Source organism: Homo sapiens, chromosome 12, assembly GCF_000001405.40.
Source record: "Homo sapiens chromosome 12, GRCh38.p14 Primary Assembly".
Lineage (NCBI taxonomy): Eukaryota > Metazoa > Chordata > Mammalia > Primates > Hominidae > Homo > Homo sapiens.
Window position 1 is genome coordinate 41061922 of NC_000012.12, and position 25630 is coordinate 41087551.

General features: G+C 38.5%; 1 protein-coding gene across 6 annotated transcripts in view; it reads left to right on the forward strand.

Annotated features, from left to right (window-relative positions):
- The window catches only part of CNTN1 (contactin 1), a 379977-nt gene extending 369483 nt beyond the window's left edge, over positions 1 to 10494 (forward strand). For 5 of the 6 annotated variants that reach the window (XM_011537926.4, NM_001843.4, XM_005268651.3 and 2 more), the window contains one exon: positions 8038 to 10494. In XM_011537926.4, coding sequence (XP_011536228.1) covers positions 8038 to 8114 — 77 coding nt within the window. In that variant the 3' untranslated portion in view covers positions 8115 to 10494. The remainder of the gene's footprint in view (positions 1 to 8037) is intronic. The other variant, NM_175038.2, reaches the window with a different exon arrangement.

Genomic DNA, 25630 nt, shown 5'->3' on the forward strand with positions numbered 1-25630 from the left:
TTAGTATTTGAGTGTTGCTATCTCAAGTAGGCAAAGGGAAATAAAATCATCAAAAGCAAAATAAGCAAGCTGATACACAGACAATATCATAAAATAGATATTTTAGGGAAAAAACAAAAATCATCAAATGTGCAAAAATTCTGCTGAACCTCAAAGATCAAACCCATTTTATTTTCTGATTTCTCTTTGGGTCTCTTCTTTAGAAACTCTTAAAACCAATTAGTGTGACTATCCATTACTTTATTTTGTCAAAGTCATGAAGTTAATGCTTATAATAATCTAAAATTGAAAATTACATTAACGTTTTCCCCAAGAAACTGGTTTGAAGCCAATTCAGCTAACTTTCTAAAAAGACACCTCCTTTGTTAACATTAGACCATTCATAAAAATAACAATTTTGATATATAGTTCAAAGAAAATGTTAACAGTAACCTCACTGAATTACAGCAGTGTTACTGAAAATTGTATGCTAGTTTCCAGGCAAGTACAACTTTTCTACCTTACAGATTTGCAAGTTTTACATCTCAACTCTAGTCTATACTTGCATTGTTGATAACATTTAGACAGGATGGAAACCTGGAAAGAAAAAAATTATGCAAGAGAAAATGTGCAAGGAGAAAGAGACAAAGATGAGACAGAAATGCTAAAAATGAATCAAGCAATAATTCAAAGATTCCTTTGTTTCAGACATTTCATAAAATCTCAGTTAATACATTTAAAACATTTGTTTTTACCTCAATAGCTTCACATTGACCAAGTGTTAATTCAAGGAAGTAAATGGGACTGCATGAATTTTTTAAAATTATCATTGTCAGAAAATTAACCATACAATAAAGTAGATTTCAGTGTCTCAAAGTAAAACATACCTCTTCTTCTTTTAATGTTTGTTTTTATATATTTCTGCCACAAAATTTAATAAAATAAATACCTAACTGATTTCCTCACCTAGTTCTGACAGCAATCCAATGGAGAAACAAACACAATTCAGTAATTTGCAGAATGGAACACCACCAGTAAAAGAACCCCAGAAAATTCCCAACTGATTAGACTAAGTCCAAAACAAAGCTCTTCACCATAAATTTACCATTTTTTCAGACAAATTCTTATGAGTGACTAAATTTGCAAAGTGGCAAACTCACACCAGGCCTTTCTGTACAAATAAATAAGATAAAAAATGCTGAAAAATTCGAACGCTGCACCTACCTTGACTGCGTCCCAGTGGTTACTCATAAAAATGGATCCAGTACTCTGACAAGTTCACTGAAAGTGTTGTCTTCAGTAGCTAAAGAGAGCACTTGCTTTTCTTGTGTTGATTAGCCTCAAGCAATTGGGAAAATAGCTAAAAGCTGAGAAAGGCAAATTAGAGAGGTTTTAAATGATACAGGTGAGCAAAGTCCTGAAACACGTTTTTCCAATTACCACAAATTTACCAGAAAACGTACTTTTCCACAGCTATGGGCAGAATATAATTCCTGTGTGATGGTCCTTGATAGAAAGTTACTGTGGTCAACAAGTTTGGGAGATACTGATTATCCTCTGTTGCTTTGATGATTCTCAACATGCATTTATTTGCACTTTTTAGATGAGAGTAGTCTCTTTTTTGCCCCAGAACTCCTCTTTTGCTCCTGGATCCACACAGCCCTTTCACTGGGCAAAGTACCGTTCCTCCTGAGATAAGAATGAAAGCTACCATCTTCTTACATGGCCCTGCTTCCTTGGCCAGAGTGATTGGTTGAGTGATGGAAAGCTTCTCCAAACTAGTTCAATCAAAGAAGCCACTAACTCAGCCACAGTTATTGGTCTGGGGATAGGTGTGTGACCTGATGTTTGCAAAGCAGAGCCTTTCCTTAAGAATTTTTCATTAGTGTTGGGGTAAAACGATAGCCCAGTCTGTTTGTTCTTAAGAATACGTGATGTGAGCTAGGAGCTCATATCTCTCTTGAGAGAAGTCAGTCTGAGAATGTGAGGCAACAGGCCGGGCGCGGTAGCTCACGCCTGTAATCCCAGCATTTTGGGAAGCCGAGGCGGGCGGATCACGAGGTCAGGAGTTGAGACCATCCTGGCTAGCACAGTGAAACCCCATCTCTACTAAAAATACAAAAATTAGCCGGGCATGGTGGCGGGCGCCTGTAGTCCCAGCTACTCGGGAGGCTGAGGCAGGAGAATGGCGTGAACCCGGGAGGCAGAGCTTTCAGTTAGCCGAGATCGCGCCACTGCACTGCAGCCTGGGCGACTGAGTGAGACTCCATCTCAAAAAAAAAAAAAAAAACAATGTGAGGCAAATTGTAAAAGAACAAGAGGTGAAAGCCAGAGACTTGGAAGATGCAGGCATTCAATTATCTGCTCCAGTGTGCCTGTAAAACATCAGCTGTTAGGTTGGGGTTCTGTTTCTTAAAACCAAAGATCCCTGACTACCATGCTACACAAACACTGGAGCTGGAAGCTAGACTCTTACAGAAAAACTCAGTATGCCCAGCTTATGCCATTGTTTGCTTTATTTTATCCAACTACTTTTCCAGAAATACAGTGCAGGTCTAGAACAAGAAATAAACTTCATGAAATGTAGTAGGAATTGCTACCATTTACTGGGAGTTATCTATTAATCATGCATTTCTGAAATGCTTTACATAAAGCAGTTGTTTTCAAACCGTGATAAGCAGAGTCCCACATGTTCCATGGGGTGATAGAGTTGCGGGAAGTACAGGTGCCAGCATGAAAATAGAGAAGACAAAAATCTGGTGGTTTCCTGCTCTTAAACCCATCTTTGAGTAAAGCATCCCCCTTTCACCCAGTTCAATAATGGATTTCCACATATAATTACTTCTGAAGAAAGGTTATGCTACCTCTCTAGATAGATAGATAGATAGATAGATAGATAGATGCCATGAGACATATTATTATCCCTATTTTATAGTTGAAGGAAAAAGGTTTAATTTTTTTTTAATTTTTTCAAATTAAAAAAATTAAAGAACATGCTCAAGATTACCCAGATTATGCAGCCAGTAAAAGGCAGAGGTAGAGTTTGAACTTTGCTTTGCCTGTTTCCAGAACGTCTGACTCAGCTGCCATGTGATACTGTTCCCAATATATCCTTGTGGCTCCTACTAGGACAGGCACTCATTGCTTGCTTTATTTTATTTTTTTATTTTTTTGAGACGGAGTCTCGCTCTGTCGCCCGGGCTGGAGTGCAGTGGCGCCATCTCCGCTCACTGCAAGCTCTGCCTCCCGGGTTCACGCCATTCTCCTGCCTCAGCCTCCCGAGTAGCTGGGACTATAGGTGCCTGCCACCAAGCCCGGCTACTTTTTTGTATTTTTAGTAGAAACGGGGTTTCACCGTGTTAGCCAGGATGGTCTCGAACTCCTGACCTTGTGATCCACCCGCCTGGGCCTCCCAAAGTGCTGGGATTACAGGCGTGAGCCACCGCACCCGGCCTCATTGCTTGCTTTATTGATACTCATATTAGCCAGCTTGTCCTGTTAAAATTAAATAGCCAAAGATCAAACAGAAACCTGTAGTCCGACAAAGCCAGAGTTATTGACTGGATGTAGCAAGGAAACACACACCAGAGCAATCATGGAATACCATGCAGGTGCGAAGGAGAAGTGTCTTATGTAAGGTTTGAGTTCCTGCTGAAGAATTCTGAGGAGGGTGGAAATAAACTGGCAGTCAGATCTGGATTAGTTCTGTTTCTGAAGTGGGAATAGGAGAAGCAGGAATTAACTAGAGCTGGGGCTGTCATGAGGGGAGTGCAGTCCAGCAATTGGGTATTCCCACTAATAGGTGGGACAAGAAGAGCAGAGCTGGGGCATCATTGGTAACAGCACCATCCACTTGGTGAGGAGGTCATGATGGCATTCTACAGCAGCTCTGTGATCTTGGTAGTGTTTCCTGTGAACTTTACAGTTGGCATTATCCATGTCTGTCATACGAATCTGAATAAAGGTTTTGTTATTTTTCTGCCTCAGCTGATTTTCACTCTAATCATAGGGATGTTTTTACTCTTTCAGTTCTCAAACGTGCTGTCCCAGCAGGAGTTTTATTGAACTCAACAATTTTCAACGCAAGCATCCATTCATGTGTACCTAATATACCTCATATATATTAGGCACACCTCTAGGCAGTGGGGAATCAACCATCTAATAAAAACACTTTCTTCCATATGGCCAGGGCCATTAATAGACCTCGGAAGAATAAAAAATAATGTCGGACCAGGACTAGTTGGAGGACTCCTGGACTGAGTAGTAAAATCATTGCCTTCTGATATTATATTATGAATTTTTAATATTATCTCTTTAATAGGAAAAAACTATTTTCTGAGGAAAAGTAATCATAGGAAGGTATAACCCCTTTCTTTGTCCAGGTTCCTAGAAGTTAGAGAGATTATGCAATATAGAATAAAATAAAAAGAAATATCAGGGGTCACACTGAAGGTCACAGTGGTTTCCTCTAACCATCTTCTTCCTTAGACCCCCTGTGCTCTGTAATAAGAAAAAATTCAGGGCCTACAATGGAGGCATAACTCAATCATTTAACATTATAGGTTGAGTACTTTCTATGCACTAGGCTTGGTATTAGTCAACACAGCTAAAACATAATTTGGATATCATCTCTGTCTTGAAGTTGTTCATAATATAGAGATATTAGCAGTTGTGGTCACAAAATGTGACACCACAAAGAGAAAATTCTAAATGTTATGGCATCGTCAGCAATAGGCAAGCAGTAGAAACAAAGACTGCATCACAGTGTCCAGATTGAAGAATCAGAAAGGAAGTTTGTATTAAAAACCAAGTAGAGCAGTTTTCTACTTATCAGAAAGCCTGCAGTACTGCTCAACTTTTAATTGAAATGTCTGTTTTCAGCATCACTCTCCATATAGCGGGAATTCTCCCTGAAGGAAGTATGAAATCAAAGTTTAGATTTAAAAAAAAATCAAGAATTCCCATGGAAGAGATATAGTACTCCAAATTGGTTTTACATTTCTTCTGATAGAGAAAAATTATTCACAAGATCAATGATTTGTTCAGGTTTAACATTCATCAGCTATGTGAAAAGCAAAATATGTGTTTACTATATAACACATAAGTACCAGAATTATGATTGATAGCAGTATTCTGATATATATGTTGTTAGATTCAAAACCAATATATATTGAAAAACTCCTCAAGAATATATGTCATTTAAAATGACATTAGATAGTACTTCAATTCGGTCTCTAATTTCTGTTTGGAATGTGGGATAGAAGTAAAGATGAAGACCAAAATTACATAAGCTTGAGCCATTAGAGAAATTAAATATAACACACGTAAACATGGAGAGTTTATTTCAAATATCCTGATGTCAAAGCCACAAATTATGAAATTGTATTTGGTTTTCATACTAGTACCAAAACATCAAGATGGCATCCACAATTCACTAAATTTCTTTCGAGCAGCCACAGTTTGTACTTTGCCAACCCACATATTCAGCCAAGTACATAAACATGTCCCCATGATAGATGTAATTTGTGGTCAAAAGACAGAGCATTGTGGAGACCCTGCAGTCATCCTCAGACAAAAAAGGCTTCAGAATGATGATTTCCAATTCCTATCACAAGAACAAAAAACCAAACACCGCATATTCTCACTCATAGGTGGGAATTGAACAATGAGATCACATGGACACAGGAAGGGGAATATCACACTCTGGGGACTGTGGTGGGGTGGGGGAGGGGGGAGGGATAGCATTGGGAGATATACCTAATGCTAGATGACGAGTTAGTGGGTGCAGCGCACCAGCATGGCACATGTATACATATGTAACTAACCTGCACAATGTGCACATGTACCCTAAAACTTAAAGTATAATAAAAAAAAAAAGGCTTCAGGATGGATCATTTACACTGGGTCAAACATTGACGTTTAAAGGTTTTACTGTGTGATTGAGGTTTATTATTGGGCATCTTATCAGAATAAAATAATGTGTGGTCTGTGGCATATTTTAAAAAATTTGTAGAAAAGTAGAAGATAAAAAAAATTACAAGAATACAAAGATCTCTTTGAAACAGTTTATGTGTTAGCTTTTTTCCATATGACATTTATTATTTTCCTTCTGTGCCCTTGCCTTGATACATTAAGTGCAGAGCGCAGTTTCCTTCTGCATTTCTAAAACCAGTCCCTTGCTAAAGCTACCTGCAAGAACACGGCAGAGAGGTCAAAAGTGCATGGCCTTTGCAGCTGGACAAATTTGAATTCTAATCCCTTCTCTGCCCTCTAGTGACTATTGGACTTGAGCAACTCATTTTACCTGACTCAGTTACAAAATATATAAAATTAGGGTAAAAGACCTACCATTGTAGGTTGTTGTAGTCATGTCATAATCTACATAATGAGCCAACATAGTCTTGTAGCTGGCTGTAGGGCAGTAAGTAGCATCTCTCAAAGTAATGATAAGTTTACTATTGTTATTGATAGTGTCCTTAGGAGCTCTGCTACTTGAGGGCTGTTTATATTCCCCTTGTTATCTGCCCTCACCTTTTGACCCTCACTTTCCTGCTCATTTCTAAGAACTACTTTATCTGTATCCGATAAAGCTTTCCCTCTTATGTTTCCAGGCAGCTCCAAAAGCCCCAGGCAGGGCAATGTTGAAGACAAGCAAGCAGACAGACACTATTATCTTCCACCTTATAGGGAACATGAATGTGCTTTTAATGACCAGAGATTCAGGAGAAATGCACTAAATCTCCCTGAATATAAAAGGACCATGCCAAAGAATGAGCTGTTTATGGTCACTTTTAATGTGATAGATAATAATAATTTATTTGGTGGTTTCAAATTTAGAGAGTAAACTTCCAAAAATTAATGAAAACTGTTATATTAGTAAGCCATTGACTAAATTTTTTAGGTCTTCACTCATTCTAGCAGCATGTTCATTGAAGATAGTGCCAGCCAGGCATGGTGGCTTATGCCTGTAATCCCAGCACTTTGGGAGACTGAGGCAGGAGGATCACATGGGCCCAGGAGTTTGAGGCTGCAGTCAGCTATGACTGAACCACTGCACTCCAGCCTGAGCAATAGAACAAGACCCTGTATCTTAAAAAATAATAATTAATTTATTTAAAAAGAAGATAGTGCCTAATAGTTGTGGACATTGGGAAGAAAGAGTATGACTTTTTGGTCCTACTTTACAATAGTTTCTCAAAAATTCTCATGTCGGCAGGACACGGACCCATAAACTTACTTGACTACAGGAGTAGCCCTTCTAAGTGTCACCCAAGACGTAAATTAAGTCCATAGCATATTATAATACATCATTTCAATTTTTAATTCACAGTGTAATATCTCAGGGCAATTGTTCTTTAGATAAAAATTGAATGAGATTATTTAATATCAGAAATACATTACTTAAGTCATTCTGTATAAATGTATAAATGTCTTAAAACCATTGGGATGTGAAATTATGCAAGATTTACCTAGCATACCTATGTTGTCATTGTTTCAGGAAAAATTATTAGTATTTTTACTGTATCTCTTTTTTTACATTTTATTATTATTATACTTTAAGTTTTAGGGTACATGTGCACAATGTGCAGGTTTGTTACATATGTATACAAGTGCCATGTTGGTGTGCTGCACCCATTAACTCGTCATTTAGCATTAGGTATATCTCCTAATGCTATCCCTCCCCACTCCCCCCACCCCACAACTTTATCTTATTTTTAAAACTTACTTTTTTAATGCATGTATATATGTTTCTTGACATTTTGCCTTCTGGTAGGAATTTGGGACTGCTGGATCATAGGGACAGCATACACATTTGTGATCATATTATTTTAAATGATTAATCATGTTGTGTAAACAGTTCACATGGTCTCACACAGAAAATCTTTGATCAAAAGCTTTTGTTTTTCTTAAATCATGTAAGAATAAGAGATTCTGTTTTGTGAAAGGACCCATTTGTTTTCCAGGGCTATGCAATCTCGCCTTAGCTGAAGCAGACTAAATGAGCAATAGTGACATGTATCAATGAAATAATATGCACACTTTTGGTTTACCTTGCAGGTGCACCCACCCTATCCCCAAGTCTTCTCGGCTTACTGCTGCCTGCCTTTGGCATCCTTGTCTACTTGGAATTCTGAATGTGTTGTGACAGCTGCTGTTCCCATCCCAGCTCAGAAGACACCCTTCAACCCTGGGATGACCACAATTCCTTCCAATTTCTGCGGCTCCATCCTAAGCCAAATAAATTATACTTTAACAAACTATTCAACTGATTTACAACACACATGATGACTGAGGCATTCGGGAACCCCTTCATCCAAAAGAATAAACTTTTAAATGGATATAAATGATTTTTAACTCGTTCCAATATGCCTTATAAACCACTTAACCTGATTCTGTGACAGTTGCATGATTTAACCCAATGGGACAAGTTACAGTGTTCAATTCAATACTATAGGCTGTAGAGTGAAAGTCAAATCACCATATACAGGTGCTTTAAATTTAATAACAAGTTGTGAAATATAATAGAGATTGAAATGTTGGTTGTATGTGGTAAATGTAAGAGTAATACAGTCTCTTGTACTTTCCTCACTGTTTTGGGTACTGCATATTATTGAATGGCCCCTATCATTCATGACATCTTGAGTTTTCTTGAAAAGACAATAGAGTGTAACAAATATTTTGTCAGAAATCCCATTATCAAATCATGAGTTGAAAGATTTTGACTATTGAAAACCAAATTCTAGAACTTACTATCAGTATTCTTATTTTCAAAGGAAATAATTTTCTAAATATTTGATTTTCAGAATCAGTTTTTTAATAGTAAAGTTAACATACCATATAGATTTTTTTTTACTTTTATATTCTACTCTGAAGTTATTTTATGCTTTTCTTATCAATTTCAAATCTCAAAAATCACAGCTCTTATCTAGAGTATCATAATATTGCTATATTTGTTCATATGTGGAGTGACAAATTTTGAAAAGTAGAGTGCTTCCTTTTTTATTGAGATGTGACAGTCTTTACATGGTTAGGAATAAGTGACAGTTAAGTGAATATCACAATTACTAGTATGTTGGTTTTTCTGCTTCATTCCTAAGTATTACGTTTCTTTATTGCAGATGTCAGATCAAAAAGTCACCTGTAGGTTGAAAAAGCTACCGTATTCCATTTTGTAAAAATAACAATAATAATAATAATAATAATTAGTTTTAAGCTCATTTCCCACTTCAATGCAATACTGAAAACTGGCTAAAAATACCAAATCAATATACTGCTAATGGTACTTTGAAGAGTATGCAAAACTGGAAGGCCAGGAGGAGGCAAATAATATGTCTTTCCGATGGTGTCTCCCAAGTGTTGGTGCTTTGGGTTTTTATAAGTTGTGAAAAGGAAGATGCACATTTCTTCATTCTCCATGGTGTGCATGGAAATGTGTTTGAGTGTGGATGTAAAAGAAATCGAGTAATAAAGAATTAGCTGGCTTGTGAAATAGTGCAGTGTTGGATGCTTCAAGAGGTATAATCCTATTTTATTAGCACAAACTTGCTAGCTAATTAGAGTTTATCTTTTTAGAAAGGACACCGTATAGGTTCGTAAAAAATATTTACAGGAAGCAAAATAGATCTATTACTACTTTACCGACTTTACCCCCTTTCTTTAATTTGTATAATTTTTGTACTATATATCGATGTGTAAATGTTTAGAGTCTTCATTATGAAAATATCAATAAATATTTCATTAGTTTACATTTAACTCTGGTATAAAATGAAACTTTTAAAAATAAGTGAAATGGATGATTTCCCAGTGGAAGTATGTCAACAGTCTTAAGATCATTGCCAGATTTCATAAAATATTTAAGTATTTGAAAAAGAAACAAAATGTCTTCATACTTTAGGGAAACGAATACCCTGTATACCTTCTGTACAAATGTTTGTGTTTTCATTGTTACACTTTGGGGTTTTACTTTTGCAATGTGACCCATGTTGGGCATTTTTATATAATCAACAACTAAATCTTTTGCCAAATGCATGCTTGCCTTTTATTTTCTAATATATGATAATAACGAGCAAAACTGGTTAGATTTTGCATGAAATGGTTCTGAAAGGTAAGAGGAAAACAGACTTTGGAGGTTGTTTAGTTTTGAATTTCTGACAGAGATAAAGTAGTTTAAAATCTCTCGTACACTGATAACTCAAGCTTTTCATTTTCTCATACAGTTGTACAGATTTAACTGGGACCATCAGTTTTAAACTGTTGTCAAGCTAACTAATAATCATCTGCTTTAAGACGCAAGATTCTGAATTAAACTTTATATAGGTATAGATACATCTGTTGTTTCTTTGTATTTCAGGAAAGGTGATAGTAGTTTTATTTGATACTGATAAATATTGAATTGATTTTTTAGTTATTTTTTATCATTTTTTCAATGGAGTAGTATAGGACTGTGCTTTGTCCTTTTTATGAATGAAAAAATTAGTATAAAGTAATAAATGTCTTATGTTACCCAAGAAAGAACAACTGTCCTTTCAATTTACCTCAAGTTTAAATTTTTTAGAAGGTTTTCATTACAAGTTCGATAGCAGGGAATAAATATTCTGGTTAAGCAACAGTTCAGTATTTGAAGTACTACAAAAAGTACACACATAGAAACACACACAGAGTCATTATTACATTGAAATAAGTTCACCTGGTAAATAACTTCAACCCATAAAGATGTCAGTGAATATCATTCAATGTAAAGTGAAACACTAAAGCCAGCTGCTAGATGCTAAGAAAATGAGACTTTGTAACCCTGAATGAGCGAGTCTGGAATAGAGGTATCTGCATAATGGCATGAATCTATAGGAGGAGTCTGCTACAGGTAAAGCTTCTGAGTCCTGAGACAGGCTGGGCCCAGAAAACTGCATCCCACGGCTGCCTGTGTCCTGCCTTCCCATTTTCTCCTGTGTTCTGATCGTGGTTTCGCATTGGAATTCTCATCTCCCTTCCTGTTTCATGAAGCTTGCTTCACCCTGGATTCTGGTTTTCCTTTTTGGACGTTGTCTCTGTTTCTAGACCTTAAGTATTAGATTACTTCCCTTCTAATATTTTGTATTTGGTATTTGACCTTCAACTGACCCCAGCTCAGATTCTCCAGGCTTTGGGAGATCAAAGCTTCTTTCTGCGAGAGTGTGTTCCATGTTAATGATTCTCAAACCTGGTTGCCCATCACGATCACCTGGAGAATTAGAAAAATTAAAATGAATTCCCTGGACCCCAGTCCAGATTTACCAAATAAGAATCTGGGGAGTGAGCTATATTTTGGAGGGAATGTTCAGTACTATCTTACAGGGAGTTGGGTTTGAGGTTTTCATGATCACTGCAGGCTAGATTAACTGATAGTGTCAACTGAAAGAAGAATATATTTCAATAGCCTGTCTACATAACTTAATATCTCTTCAGAAAAAAAAAGAATCCATAAACTTTGCTTGCTTAAAATGCTGATTTGTTTATAATTATTCTTATCTTTTGTTCTACATCTTAATATCAAAATACAATACACTTTTTGTCTGGCAAAAATATCCCCTACCTTGTTTGTATCCAGACTGCAGACAAAAATGCACCTCAGAAGATTTCTTCTCTAAAGGAATGTGGACTTTTTCTTTTTCCTTCATGATACTTGGAAAATGAATTACATTTTAATACTTAATTTCCTGAGTCTATCATCTTCTGGAGGTTGCTAATAAAAAAAAATGATGAAAGCCTCCCTCAAACTTCAGAATAGACACATGATGACTTTGAATGAATTGACTTGTAAACTAGTTTATAGGTTTCACCATTGCTCATCCTATTTTAAAACCAAGTTTCACTTTTCCATTACTAGAAATAAGTCTGCTACCTGGGGTAATTATATCAGTTCCTACAATGTCATTACTAATTTTGCTCTAGAATTCAGTCAGGCGCATCTTAAAGCACAACCGTGAAGTTAATCCTTTTTCATTCAGGATCATTTTCTTTGACACATGCTGCCTTGAAAGCAAAGTCAAATATCTTAATCTTTTCTTGCATTTGTTTCCCAGAACTGCAGTAAAAATTAGCACAAACCAAGGGGTTTACAACATAACTTATTTTCTCACAGTTCTTGGAGCTGTAAGTCTAAAATGAAGGTGTCAGCCTGCCTTCTGGAGACTCTGAGGGAGAATCTGTTCCACACCCCTCTTTCGTAGCTTTTCATGGTTGCAGGCAGTGCTTGGTATTCCTTGGCTTGCAGCTGCAACACTCTAATCTCTACCTCTTGTCATACGGCATATTCCCTGTGTGTCTTGGTGTCCGCATTTCTCTCTTTTATCAGGACACCAGTCACTGGATTATGGACCACCTTAATATCCAGCATGACCTCAATTTAATTACATATGCAAAGACCCTATTTCTAAATAAGGTCACATTCACAGGTACTGAGTGGACATATATTTTGTCTCAACCTAGTAGTTCTCATTTCCTCTTTTTAAAACCTGATATGCATCACTCACACTAATGTGGATATGACTGAAATGCTGCTCTAAGCATCTTTTCAGAAAGCATTTATGTTGATAATTTACAACAATATGGATGAAACTCAAATGCATTATGCTAATTGAAAAGAAGCCAGATTCAAAATGCTGCGTGATGCCATTTATAGAACATTCTGGAACAGTCAGAATGCTCGTGGTTGCAAGGAGTTGAGAGGAGGTGGAGGGTCTGACTGCGCAGAAGCAGCATGAGGGAACTCTTAGGGGCAGTAGAACTGGTTGTGGTGACTCAAATCTATGCATTTGTCAAAACTCACAAAATTGCCCATCAAAAGGGTGAGATTTACAGTATGTACATTAAAACAACTTTTTAAAAAATGAAATTTTGAAAAGATCATGACCATTGGACAGATCTGTGATAATATTTTAATGCTACCTGTTATTACCTGTAAGATCTTGGAGAAGAAATGTAACCTTCTGAGGTTCAGTTTCCTCTTCTGTAAAATAGGGATAATACTTCTCCGTTGTTCAGAATTCTTTTAGTTGCAAATGACAGACACTCAACTCCAATAGCTTTAATAAAAAAAAAAAAGAGAGTCTATTGGCTCAAATAATGTAGTCTCTAAGATGGAATAGATATAAGGTCTTTAGTAATGTTCTCAGGGTTTCTCTTCATCAGTGGATTCAGCATCTCTGGCAGGCTATCTTTTTGTGGGAGGAATCCGGGGTGCTGACAGTTCCAAACCTACATCCTCCTGATCAATGGCCCAAAAGTATTAGAGCCTCTCTCATTCTGACTCAGCATACATAGAAAATCTCAGTGAAGACTCAGATTATCCCCAGGAATTTGGTATATGTTATTTGCCATTTTGGATATCCTGTCCACCCTTCTGAGTAGTCAAAAGGTGGCACAAACATTGTAATAGAAATACCCACCAGCCAGGAGTGGTGGCTCATGTCTGTAATCCCAGCACTTTGGGAGGCCGAGGAGGGTGGATCACCTGAGGTCAGGAGTTTAAGACCAGCCTGCCCAACATGGTGAAACCCCACCACTACTAGAAATACAAAAAAATCAGCTGGTGTGGTGGTGTGTGCCTGTAATTCCAGATACTCAGGAGGCTGAGGCAGAAGAATTGCTTGAACCCCGAGGGCAGAGGTTGCAGTGAGCCGACATCGTGCCACCACTGCAGTCCAGCCTGGGTGACAGAGTGAGACTCTGTCTCAAAAAAGAAAGAAAGAGAGAAAAGAGAGAAAAGAAAAAGAAAGACAAAGGAAGAAAGAGAGAAAGAGAAGGAAGGAAGAAAGGAAGGAAGGAATGAAGGAAGGAAGGAAGGAAGGAAGGAAGGAAGGAAGGAAGGAAGGAAGGAAAAGAAATTAATTCCCACCATGACTAGATGGAGTGGAGAAAGATGGTTCCCCCAGAAGAAATATCAGGTGGCTGTCAGCACGAAGACCCTCCTTTTACCACATTTTAAATGTGCACTATTCCTGGTGATGAAAGGTGAAGGAAAACCATTGTCAATCAGTCCCATCTACACTGCTTTTATTATTTCTAAGAATGACATGAATATCCAAGGGACTTTGAAACTTCATTAGAAAAGCTTATCCACATTACTCAGGCACTTCAATTAATTACAGGGAAGAGACGTGTCACATTAAAGTGCTGCAAACACATGCACTATTTTAAGTGAACTATATTCGTTATCCACAAAACCTCAGTGGCATATAACAATAAAAAAATTGCTCACACATTTGGACAGCAGTAGGTCAGATACGTGGCTTTGCTTATCTGAACTGAACTCCCTCACATGTTCGGGAGTCAGCTGACTGTCAGCTGTTCAAAGCTGCCCTTAGATGGGGCCTTTAGGATAACTTGGCTCCGCTTCACTTTTCTCCCATTCTCCATCAGGCTAGACCTAGCACGTTCTCACGGCTGACAGAGGTGCAAGAAAGCGAGTGGAAACATGTAGCTACTCTCTCAAGCTTTTGCTTGCCTTATGTCTGTTAACATCCTATTGACAAGATCGAGTCATATTATAAACCCAGAGCCAAGAGGCAAGGCAGGTCACCCACATATGTGGGTGGGCACTTTAAAGGTACAGCAAAGTGTGTGGATATAGGGAGTGTTGAAGAATTGGAGCTAAATGATGTAATGTACCACAGATACTTACCAAATTCCACTGGATCTAAGAGGCCATCAATTTTACTATTAAAAAAGAAAAAAATTTATAATTAAACTATAACACAATGCTTGTTTATCATGTAGAATTGTTATTCTTATTGAAACAGCTACTTATTTGGAAATATGTTTTTATGGTTTGTTATGCATAGACAATGAAGAAACTATACAAAAATTGTGCTAACATAGTCCTACAAATTCTCCACATTTAGAATAAGACTCTCATAAATCATTCCTAAACTCTGAGTAGTTGATGTTTGTATTTTGTTACAAAATGTCATATTTTGGTGGTATTGGTGTCTACATCATTACTTAAAGGATGCTCCAATATTTCTTTCAAGCTTCTGATGCCCATTCTGCCAGTGTTTTCTTAATCTTATGAGACATCAACAGAAAGTTATTGTGGCCATTGAAAAAAACATGTTCATAAACTCTTCTCTTCAAGAGGTGGAATGTAATTCTGGTCCCCTTGAGGGTGTGCTGAATTTAATGAATCACCTCTAGAGAATGGGATAAAGCAGAAGTGACAGTGAAGGACTTTGGAAGCTAGGTCATTAAAAGCCAGTGTGGTCTCCATTTTAATCATTCTCTCTCTCTCTCTCTTAGATCAATGTCTCTTTGAGAAGCCAGTTGTTATGTTCTGAGGGAATTCAGTCAGCCCTGTGGAGATACTCATATAGTGAGAAACTGATACCTCCTGCCAGCATCCCTGTGAGTGAGCCATCTTGCAAGCATATCAGCCTCAGTCAAGCCTTCAGATGAATACAATCTAGGCTGAAAGCCTAACTGCAATGTAATGAAAGACCTTGAGCTAGAACCACCCAAATATCTGCTCCCAGGTTTATGACCTTCAGGAACTATGTGAGATAATAATTATTTGTTGTGTTAAGCCACTACATTTTGGAGTAATTTATTATATAGTAATAGATAACTACACAATTGGCATATGATTAAGACTCTTAAGTGACTTGTTGACAAAAATTTAAAAAAATGAAGTTGTCCAATTTGACCAATAGAAATAACAAAGGTAACCCTATATGCCCAGCTACTCTATTTTCATGTATTTCTGTATGCTATTATTTAATTTCAGTGCTGAATTATAAGACACTTAAAAAGCATTCAAACTCCTGTGTTATCTCCAAAATATTTCCAACTCAACTGAAGTAATGATAATATAAAAAGTTATGATAAGGTGACTTATGTGTAAGCAGTAACAACTCTGCCATAGTTGTCTCCTGGCTAAGTGCAATTGAAAGATACCATTAATTTTAAGATGCATCCTATTTTAAGAGATGTTAACATATTTTAAAAATGTGTGGAATAGAAATATGGTACTTATCAGTTCTTATGAACACTTGCAGCTTCTTTGACTAAATTTAGGGTAAAGAAGATGAAAGTTATATTTAGGTTAGGATGTTGAAAAGTAATTGGTTTACTGAAGATGCAAGACTCCAGTTTGGCTGTCTGGGATCCCAGTGGGAGCTGAGATGAGCATGGCTGTCCAGGGAAATAGTTTTTACCTTTATAGCTATCATAAAGGCAACAGCTCAAAGAGTTATATTTAACTCAACTGTTTCACTATTTCTTTACATCTTCACACATTAGTACAAGCCCATGCATGAAATAAGGACTCAACACATATACAATGAATGGATTGTTGAATAAAAAACAGAGGTTTTAGATTTTCAGTGTTTTAGCATATTTTCTAGAAATATTTTTATGTTACTTGATTGATAATGTGCTTATTTCACATATTCTAATATCGCGAGAACTCTTTACTAAAATAACAATCGGCTTTTGACAATGCTATGTTTACAGGTTTAAGTCTGTAAAAAATTGCAGGTGGAGAAAAGGCTCATTGAAGGGTGATCACTAGAGAGGAAGAAATGTATCTATAGTTGTACACCCAGGACATATCCAGGACCTCCTCTTCTGAGTATTGTTTCTGCAACATTTCATTTCTAAATGTTTGCACCATAGGCATGCTAGATCATATTAACATAAGCAATAATACTCTAAAATTTGTGGCACACACTAACGCCCTATGCACAATGTCTCATTTATTATTTATTTTTATGTATTTATTTATGTATTTTATTATGTATTTCTCTATTTTATCTCCAATCCCACATCACACCATGCTTTCACTGTCATGTATTCAATGTTTGTCCTTTCAATTAATCTTCTTTATTTTATTTATATGCTATTACATGAACAATAAATAGGATTCATATATTTGGTTTTATTTATATAAATTATATTTTGCTGCATATTCTATTCTGCTTCATAGCTCTTTTGGTTAACATTACTTTTTCTGATATATCTATATGTATTTCTAGTTTATTCCCCTGGTTAATTTTGGTACACTTTATCACTTTGTTCCCATTCTGTCTTATAATCTCCCCACTGGAGATAATTTTACAGTAAACATTTTGCATGCTTCTTCATGTAACTCTATGGGAATTTTTCTGGCTACCATTCAGTAATAGAATTACTAGATTATTGTACATGTGTATAATATACTATTTATCATGCATATTCATTCATTCAACAGCGTACTTCTCCTCTCCATGTTGAGGATACAGCAATGAGAAAAATTAAGTTTGAAAAAGGTGACTCCAATTTTCACTTCTTTCAACACTTGAGGATTTCCATTTTCTCATCCAAGCTTGATATTATATAGATACAAAATTTACCCAATCTGGTCGTGTGTAAAGTGTTTTAATTTACATTTCTCTGATTACTAAATGTTCTGACCGCCTCTTTGTATAATTATTACTTATATATTTTTCTTTTGTGAATCATCTGGTCATAACAAAACATTTTAACATTCTATAGAAATCTTAAACATACACATACTGATATGGTTTGGCTGTGCCCCCACCCAAATCACATCTTGAACTGTAGTTCCCATAAAGCCTATATGTCATGGGAGGGACCCAGTGGTAGGTAATTGAATCTCAGGGACAGGTTTTTCCTGTGCTACTCTCCTGATAGTGAATGGGTCTCATGTGATCTGATGGTTTTATAAAGGGCAGTTCCCCTGCACATAGTCTCTTGCCTGCCACCATGTAAGACATGCCTTTGCTCCTCCTTCACCTTCTGCCATGATTGTGAAGCCTCCCCAGCCATGTGGAACTGTGAGTTGATTAAACCCCTTTTACTTTATAAATTACCCAGTCTCAGGTATTTCTTCATAGCAGTGTGAAAATGGACTAATACACTAAATTGGTACCAGTAGAGAGGGGTACTATAAGGATATCCAAAAATGTAGAAGTGACTTTGAAACTGGGTAACAGGCAGAGGCTGGAACAGTTTGGAGGGCTCAGAAAAAGACAGGAAAGTGTGGGAAAGTTTGGAACTTCCTAGAGACTTGATGAATAGCTTTGACCAAAATGCTGATAGCGATATGGACAATGAAGGCCAGGCTGAGGTGGTCTCAGATGGATATGTGGAATTTGTTGGGATCTGGAATAAAGGTGACTGTTGCTATATTTTAGCAAAAAGACTGGTAGCATTTGTCCCTGCCCTAGAACGCTGTGGAACTTTGAACTTGAGAGACATGATTTAGGGTATCTGGTGGAAGAAATGTCTAAGCAGCAAAGCATTCAAGAGGTGACTTGGTTGCTGTTGAAAACATTCAGTTTTATGTGTTCACAAAGGTATGGTTTGGAATTGAAACTTATATTTAAAAGGAAAGCAAAGCATAAAAGTTTGGAAAATTTGCAGCTTGACAATGCAATAGAAAAGAAAAATGCATCTTCTGAGCAAAAATTCAAGCTGACTGCAGAAAATTGCATATGTATCAAGGAGCCAAATGTTAATTGCAAGACAATGGAGAAAATGTCTCCAGTCCATGTCAGAGGTCTTCATGGCAGCCCGTTCCATCAAAAGCTGGTAGGCCTAGGAGGAAAAAATGATTTCGTGGGCTCAGCCCACAGCTTTGCTGCTCTGTGTAGCCTCAGGACTTGGTGCCCTACATCCCAGCATGGCTAAAAAGGGTCAATGTACAGTTCAGGCCACTGCTTCAGAGGGTGCAAGGCCCAAGTCTTGGTGGTTTTCACATGGTGTTGGGCCTGCGTGTACACAGAAGTCAAGAATTGAGGTTTGGGAACCTCTGCCTGGAGTTCAGAGGATGTAGGGAAACACGTGGATGTCCAGGCAGAAGTGTGCTGCAGGGTCAAAACCCTCATGGAGAACCTTTGCTGGGGCAGTGCAGAAGGGAAATCTGGGGTGGGAGTCCCCACAGTGGGTCTCTACTAGGGCACTGCCTAGTGGATCTGTGAGAAGAGGACCACCATCCTCCAGACCCGAGAATGGTATATCCACTGGCAGCTTGCAACATGTGCCTGGAAAAGCCACAGACACACAATGCCAGCCTGGGAAAGCAGCCAGAAGGGGGCTATACCCTGCAAAGCCACATGGTCCCAAAGATCATGGGAACCCACCTCTTACATCAGCCTGACCCGGATGTGAGACACAGAGTCAAAGGAGATCATTTTGGAGCTTTAAGTTTTGACTGCCCTGCTGGATTTTGGACTTGTGTGGGGCCTGTAGCCCCTTTTTTTGGCCAATGTCTCCCATTTGAAATGGGTGTATTTACCCAACGCTTGGGCCTTCATTGTATCTAGGAAGTAACTAACTTGCTTTTGTTTTTACAAGCTCATAGGTGGAAGGGACTTTCCTTGTCTCAGGTGGGACTTTGGACTGCGGACTTTTCAGTTAATGCTGAAATGAGTTAAGACTTTGAGGAACTGTTGGAAAGGCAAAATTTGTTTTGAAATGTGAGAACATCAGATTTGGGAGGGCTAGGGGCAAAATAATATGGTTTGGCTGTGTCAGCATCCAAATCTTTTTTATTTATTTATTTATTTATTTATTTATTTATTTATTTATTTATTATTATTATAAGTTTTAGGGTACATGTGCACAATGTGCAGGTTAGTTACATATGTATACCTGTGCCATGCTGGTGTGCTGCACCCACTAACTCCTCATCTAGCATTAGGTATATCTCCCAATGCTATCCCTCCCCCCTCCCCCCACCCCACAACAGTCCCCAGAGTGTGATGTTCCCCTTCCTGTGTCCATGTGTTCTCATTGTTCAATTCCCACCTATGAGTGAGAACATGCGGTGTTTGGTTTTTTGTCCTTGCGATAGTTTACTGAGAATGATGATTTCCAATTTCATCCATGTCCCTACAAAGGACATGAACTCATCCTTTTTTATGGCTGCATAGTATTCCATGGTGTATATGTGCCACATTTTCTTAATCCAGTCTATCATTGTTGGGCATGTGGGTTGGTTCCAAGTCTTTGCTATTGTGAATAATGCCGCAATAAACATACATGTGCATGTGTCTTTAAAGCAGCGTGATTTATAGTCCTTTTGGTATATACCCAGTAATGGGATGGCTGGGTCAAATGGTATTTCTAGTTCTAGATCCCTGAGGAATCACCACACTGACTTCCACAATGGTTGAACTAGTTTACAGTCCCACCAACAGTGTAAAAGTGTTCCTATTTCTCCACATCCTCTCCAGCACCTGTCCTTTCCTGACTTTTTAATGATTGCCATTCTAACTGGTGTGAGATGGTATCTCATTGTGGTTTTGATTTGCATATCTCTGATGGCCAGTGATGGTGAGCATTTTTTCATGTGTTTTTTGGCTGCATAAATGTCTTCTTTTGAGAAACGTCTGTTCATGTCCTTTGCCCACTTTTTGATGGGGTTGTTTTTTTCTCGTAAATTTGTTTGAGTTCATTGTAGATTCTGGATATTAGCCCTTTGTCGGATGAGTAGGTTGTGAAAATTTTCTCCCATTTTGTAAGTTGCCTGTTCACTCTGATGGTAGTTTCTTTTGCTGTGCAGAAGCTCTTTAGTTTGATTAGATCCCATTTGTCAATTTTGGCTTTTGTTGACATTGCTTTTGGTGTTTTAGACATGAAGTCCTTGCCCATGCCTATGTCCTGAATGGTAATGCCTAGGTTTTCTTCTAGGGTTTTTATGGTTTTAGGTCTAACATGTAAGTCTTTAATCCATCTTGAATTGATTTTTGTATAAGGTGTAAGGAAGGGATCCAGTTTCAGCTTTCTACCTATGGCTAGCCACTTTTCTCAGCACCATTTATTAAATAGGGAATCCTTTCCCCATTGCTTGTTTTTCTCAGGTTTGTCAAAGATCAGATAGTTGTAGATATGTGACATTATTTTTGAGGGCTCCATTCTGTTCCATTGATCTATATGTCTGTTTTGGTACCAGTACCATGCTGTTTTGGTTACTGTAGCCTTGTAGTATAGTTTGAAGTCAGGTAGTGTGATGCCTCCGGCTTTGTTCTTTTGGCTTAGGATTGACTTGGCGATGCGGGCTCTTTTTTGGTTCCATATGAACTTTAAAGTAGTTTTTTTCCAATTCTGTGAAGAAAGTCATTGGTAGCTTGATGGGGATGGCATTGAATCTGTAAATTACCTTGGGCAGTATGGCCATTTTCACGATATTGATTCTTCCTACCCATGAGCATGGAATATTCTTCCATTTCTTTTTATCCTCTTTTATTTCCTTGAGCAGTGGTTTGTAGTTCTCCTTGAAGAGGTCCTTCACATCCCTAGTAAGTTGGATTCCTAGGTATTTTATTCTCTTTGAAGCAATTGTGAATGGGAGTTCACTCATGATTTGGCTCTCTGTTTGTCTGTTGTTGGTGTATAAGAATGCTTGTGATTTTTGTACATTGATTTTGTATCCTGAGACTTTGCTGAAGTTGCTTATCAGCTTAAGGAGATTTTGGGCTGAGACAGTGGAGTTTTCTAGATATGCAATCATGTTGTCTGCAAACAGCGACAATTTGACTTCCTCTTTTTCTAATTGAATACCCTTTATTTCCTTCTCCTGCCTAATTGCCCTGGCCAGAACTTCCAACACTATGTTGAATAGGAGTGGTGAGAGAGGGCAACTCTGTCTTGTGCCAGTTTTGAAATGGAATGCTTCCAGTTTTTGCCCATTCAGTATGATATTGGCTGTGGGTTTGTCATAGATAGCTCTTATTATTTTGAGATACGTCCCATCAATACCTAATTTATTGAGAGTTTTTAGCATGAAGGGTTGTTGAATTTTGTCAAAGGCCTTTTCTGCATCTATTGAGATAATCATGTGGTTTTTGTCTTTGGTTCTGTTTATATGCTGGATTACATTTATTGATTTGCATATATTGAACCAGCCTTGCATCCCAGGGATGAAGCCCACTTGATCATGGTGGATAAGCTTTTTGATGTGCTGCTGGATTCGGTTTGCCAGTATTTTATTGAGGATTTTTGCATCAATGTTCATCAAGGATACTGGTCTAAAATTATCTTTTTTGTTTGTGTCTCTGCCCGGCTTTGGTATCAGGATGATGCTGGCCTCATAAAATGAATTAGGGAGGATTCCCTCTTTTTCTATTGATTGGAATAGTTTCAGAAGGAATGGTACCAGCTCCTCCTTGTACCTCTGGTAGAATTCGGCTGTGAATCCATCTGGTCCTGGACTCTTTTTGGTTGGTAAGCTATTGATTATTGCCACAATTTCAGAGCCTGTTATTGGTCTATTCAGAGAGTCAACTTCTTCCTGGTTTAGTCTTGGGAGAGTGTATGTGTCAAGGAATTTATCCATTTCTTCTAGATTTTCTAGTTTATTTGCATAGAGGTGTTTGTAGTATTCTCTGATGGTAGTTTGTATTTCTGTGGGATTGGTGGTGATATCCCCTTTATCATTTTTTATTGCGTCTATTTGATTCTTCTCTCTTTTCTTCTTTATTAGTCTTGCTAGCGGTCTATCAATTTTGTTGATCCTTTCAAAAAACCAGCTCCTGGGTTCATTAATTTTTTGAAGGGTTTTTTGTGTCTCTATTTCCTTCAGTTCTACTCTGATTTTAGTTATTTCTTGCCTTCTGCTAGCTTTTGTATGTGTTTGCTCTTGCTTTTCTAGTTCTTTTAATTGTGATGTTAGGGTGTTAATTTTAGATCTTTCCTGCTTTCTCTCGTGGGCATTTAGTGCTATAAATTTCCCTCTACACACTGCTTTGAATGTGTCCCAGAGATTCTGGTATGTTGTGTCTTTGTTCTCGTTGGTTTCAAAGAACATCTTTATTTCTGCCTTCATTTTGTTATGTACCCAGTAGTCATTCAGGAGCAGGTTGTTCAGTTTCCGTGTAGTTGAGTGGTTTTGAGTGAGATTCTTAATCCTGAGTTCTAGTTTGATTGCACTGTGTTCTGAGAGATAGTTTGTTATAATTTCTGTTTTTTTTACATTTGCTGAGGACAGCTTTTCTTCCTCAAAATGTGGTCAATTTTGGAATAGGTGTGGTGTGGTGCTGAAAAAAATGAATATTCTGTTGATTTGGGGTGGAGAGTTCTGTAGATGTCTATTACGTCTGCTTGGTGCAGAGCTGAGGTCAATTCCTGGGTATCCTTGTTAACTTTCTGTCTCGTTGATCTGTCTAATGTTGACAGTGGGGTGTTAAAGTCTCCTATTATTATTGTGTGGGAGTCTAAGTCTTTTTGTATGTCACTCAGGACTTGCTTTATGAATCTTGGTGCTCCTGTATTGGGTGCATATATATTTAGGATAGTTAGCTCTTCTTGTTGAATTGATCCCTTTACCATTATGTAATGGCCTTCTTTGTCTCTTTTGATCTTTGTTGGTTTAAAGTCTGTTTTATCAGAGACTAGGATTGCAACCCCTGCCTTTTTTTGTTTTCCATTTGCTTGGTAGATCTTCCTCCATCTTTTTATTTTGAGCCTATGTGTGTCTCTGCACGTGAGATGGGTTTCCTGAATACAGCACACTGATGGGTCTTGACTCTTTATCCAATTTGCCAGTGTGTGTCTTTTAATTGGAGCATTTAGTCCATTTACATTTAAAGTTAATATTGTTATGTGTGAATTTGATCCTGTCGTTATGATGTTAGCTGGTTATTTTGCTCGTTAGTTGATGCAGTTTCTTCCTAGTCTCTATGGTCTTTACAGTTTGGCATGATTTTACAGCGGCTGGTACCAGTTGTTCCTTTCCATGTTTTAGCACTTCCTTCAGGAGCTCTTTTAGGGCAGGCCTGGTGGTGACAAAATCTCTCAGCATTTGCTTGTCTGTAAAGTATTTTATTTCTCCTTCACTTATGAAGCTTAGTTTGGCTGGATATGGAATTCTGGGTTGAAAATTCTTTTCTTTGAGAATGTTGAATATTGCCCCCCACTCTCATCTGGCTTGTAGAGTTTCTGCCGAAAGATCCACTGTTAGTCTGATGGGCTTCCCTTTGAGTGTAACCCGACCTTTCTCTCTGGCTGCCCTTAACATTTTTCCTTCATTTCAACTTTGGTGAATCTGACAATTATGTGTCTTGGAGTTGCTCTTCTTGAGGAGTATCTTTGTGGCGTTCTCTGTATTTCCTGAATCTGAATGTTGGCCTGCCTTTCTAGATTGGGGAAGTTCTCCTGGATAATATCCTGCAGAGTGTTTTCCAACTTGGTTCCATTCTCCCCGTCACTTTCAGGTACATCAATCAGACGTAGATTTGGTCTTTTCACATAGTCCCATATTTCTTGGAGGCTTTGCTCATTTCTTTTTATTCTTTTTTCTCTAAACTTCCCTTCTTGCTTCATTTCATTCATTTCATCTTCCATTGCTGATACCCTTTCTTCCAGTTGATCGCACCGGCTCCTGAGGCTTCTGCATTCTTCACGTAGTTCTCGAGCCTTGGTTTTCAGCTCCATCAGCTCCTTTAAGCACTTCTCTGTATTGGTTATTCTAGTTATATATTCTTCTAAATTTTTTTCAAAGCTTTCAACTTCTTTGCCTTTGGTTTGAATGTCCTCCCGTAGCTTGGAGTAATTTGATCATCTGAAGCCTTCTTCTCTCAGTTCGTCAAAGTCATCCTCCGTCCAGCTTTGTTCCGTTGCTGGTGAGGAACTGCGTTCCTTTGGAGGAGGAGAGGTGCTCTGCTTTTTAGAGTTTCCAGTTTTTCTGCTCTGTTTTTTCCCCATCTTTGTGGTTTTATCTACTTTTGGTCTTTGATGATGGTGATGTACAGATGGGTTTTTGGTGTGGATGTCCTTTCTGTTTGTTAGTTTTCCTTCTAACAGACAGGACCCTCAGCTGCAGGTCTGTTGGAGTACTGGGCCCTGTGAGGTGTCAGTCTGCCCCTGCTGGGGGGTGCCTCCCAGTTAGGCTGCTCAGGGGTCAGGGGTCAGGGACCCACTTGAGGAGGCAGTCTGCCCGTTCTCAGATCTCCAGTTGCATGCTGGGAGAACCACTGCTCTCTTCAAAGCTGTCAGACAGGGACATTTAAGTCTGCAGAGGTAACTGCTGTCTTTTTGTTTGTCTGTGCCCTGCCCCCAGAGGTGGAGCCTACAGAGGCAGGCAGGCCTCCTTGAGCTGTGGTGGGCTCCACCCAGCTCGCACTTCCCGGCTGCTTTGTTTACCTAAGCAAGCCTGGGCAATGGCGGGCGCCCCTCCCCCAGACTCGCTGCCGCCTTGCAGTTTGATCTCAGACTGCTGTGCTAGGAATCAGCGAGATTCCTTGGGCATAGGACCCTCCGAGCCAGGTGCGGGATGTAATCTCCTGGTGTGTGGTTTTTTAAGCCCGTCGGAATAGCGCAGTATTTGGGTGGGAGTGACCCGATTTTCCAGGTGCCATCTGTCACCCCTTTCTTTGACTAGGAAAGGGAACTCCCTGACCCCTTGTGCTTCCCGAGTGAGGCAATGCCTCATTCTGCTTGGGCTCGCTCACGGTGCACGCACCCACTGACCTGCACCCACTGTCTGGCACTCCCTAGTGAGATGAACCCGCTACCTCAGATGGAAATGGAGAAATCACCCGTCTTCTGCGTCGCTCACGCTGGGAGATGTAGACCGGAGCTGTTCCTATTCGGCCATCTTGGCTCCTCCCCCCAAATCTTATCTTGAATTGGAGCTTCCATAATCCCCACATGTTGTGGGAGACAACCAGTGGGAGGT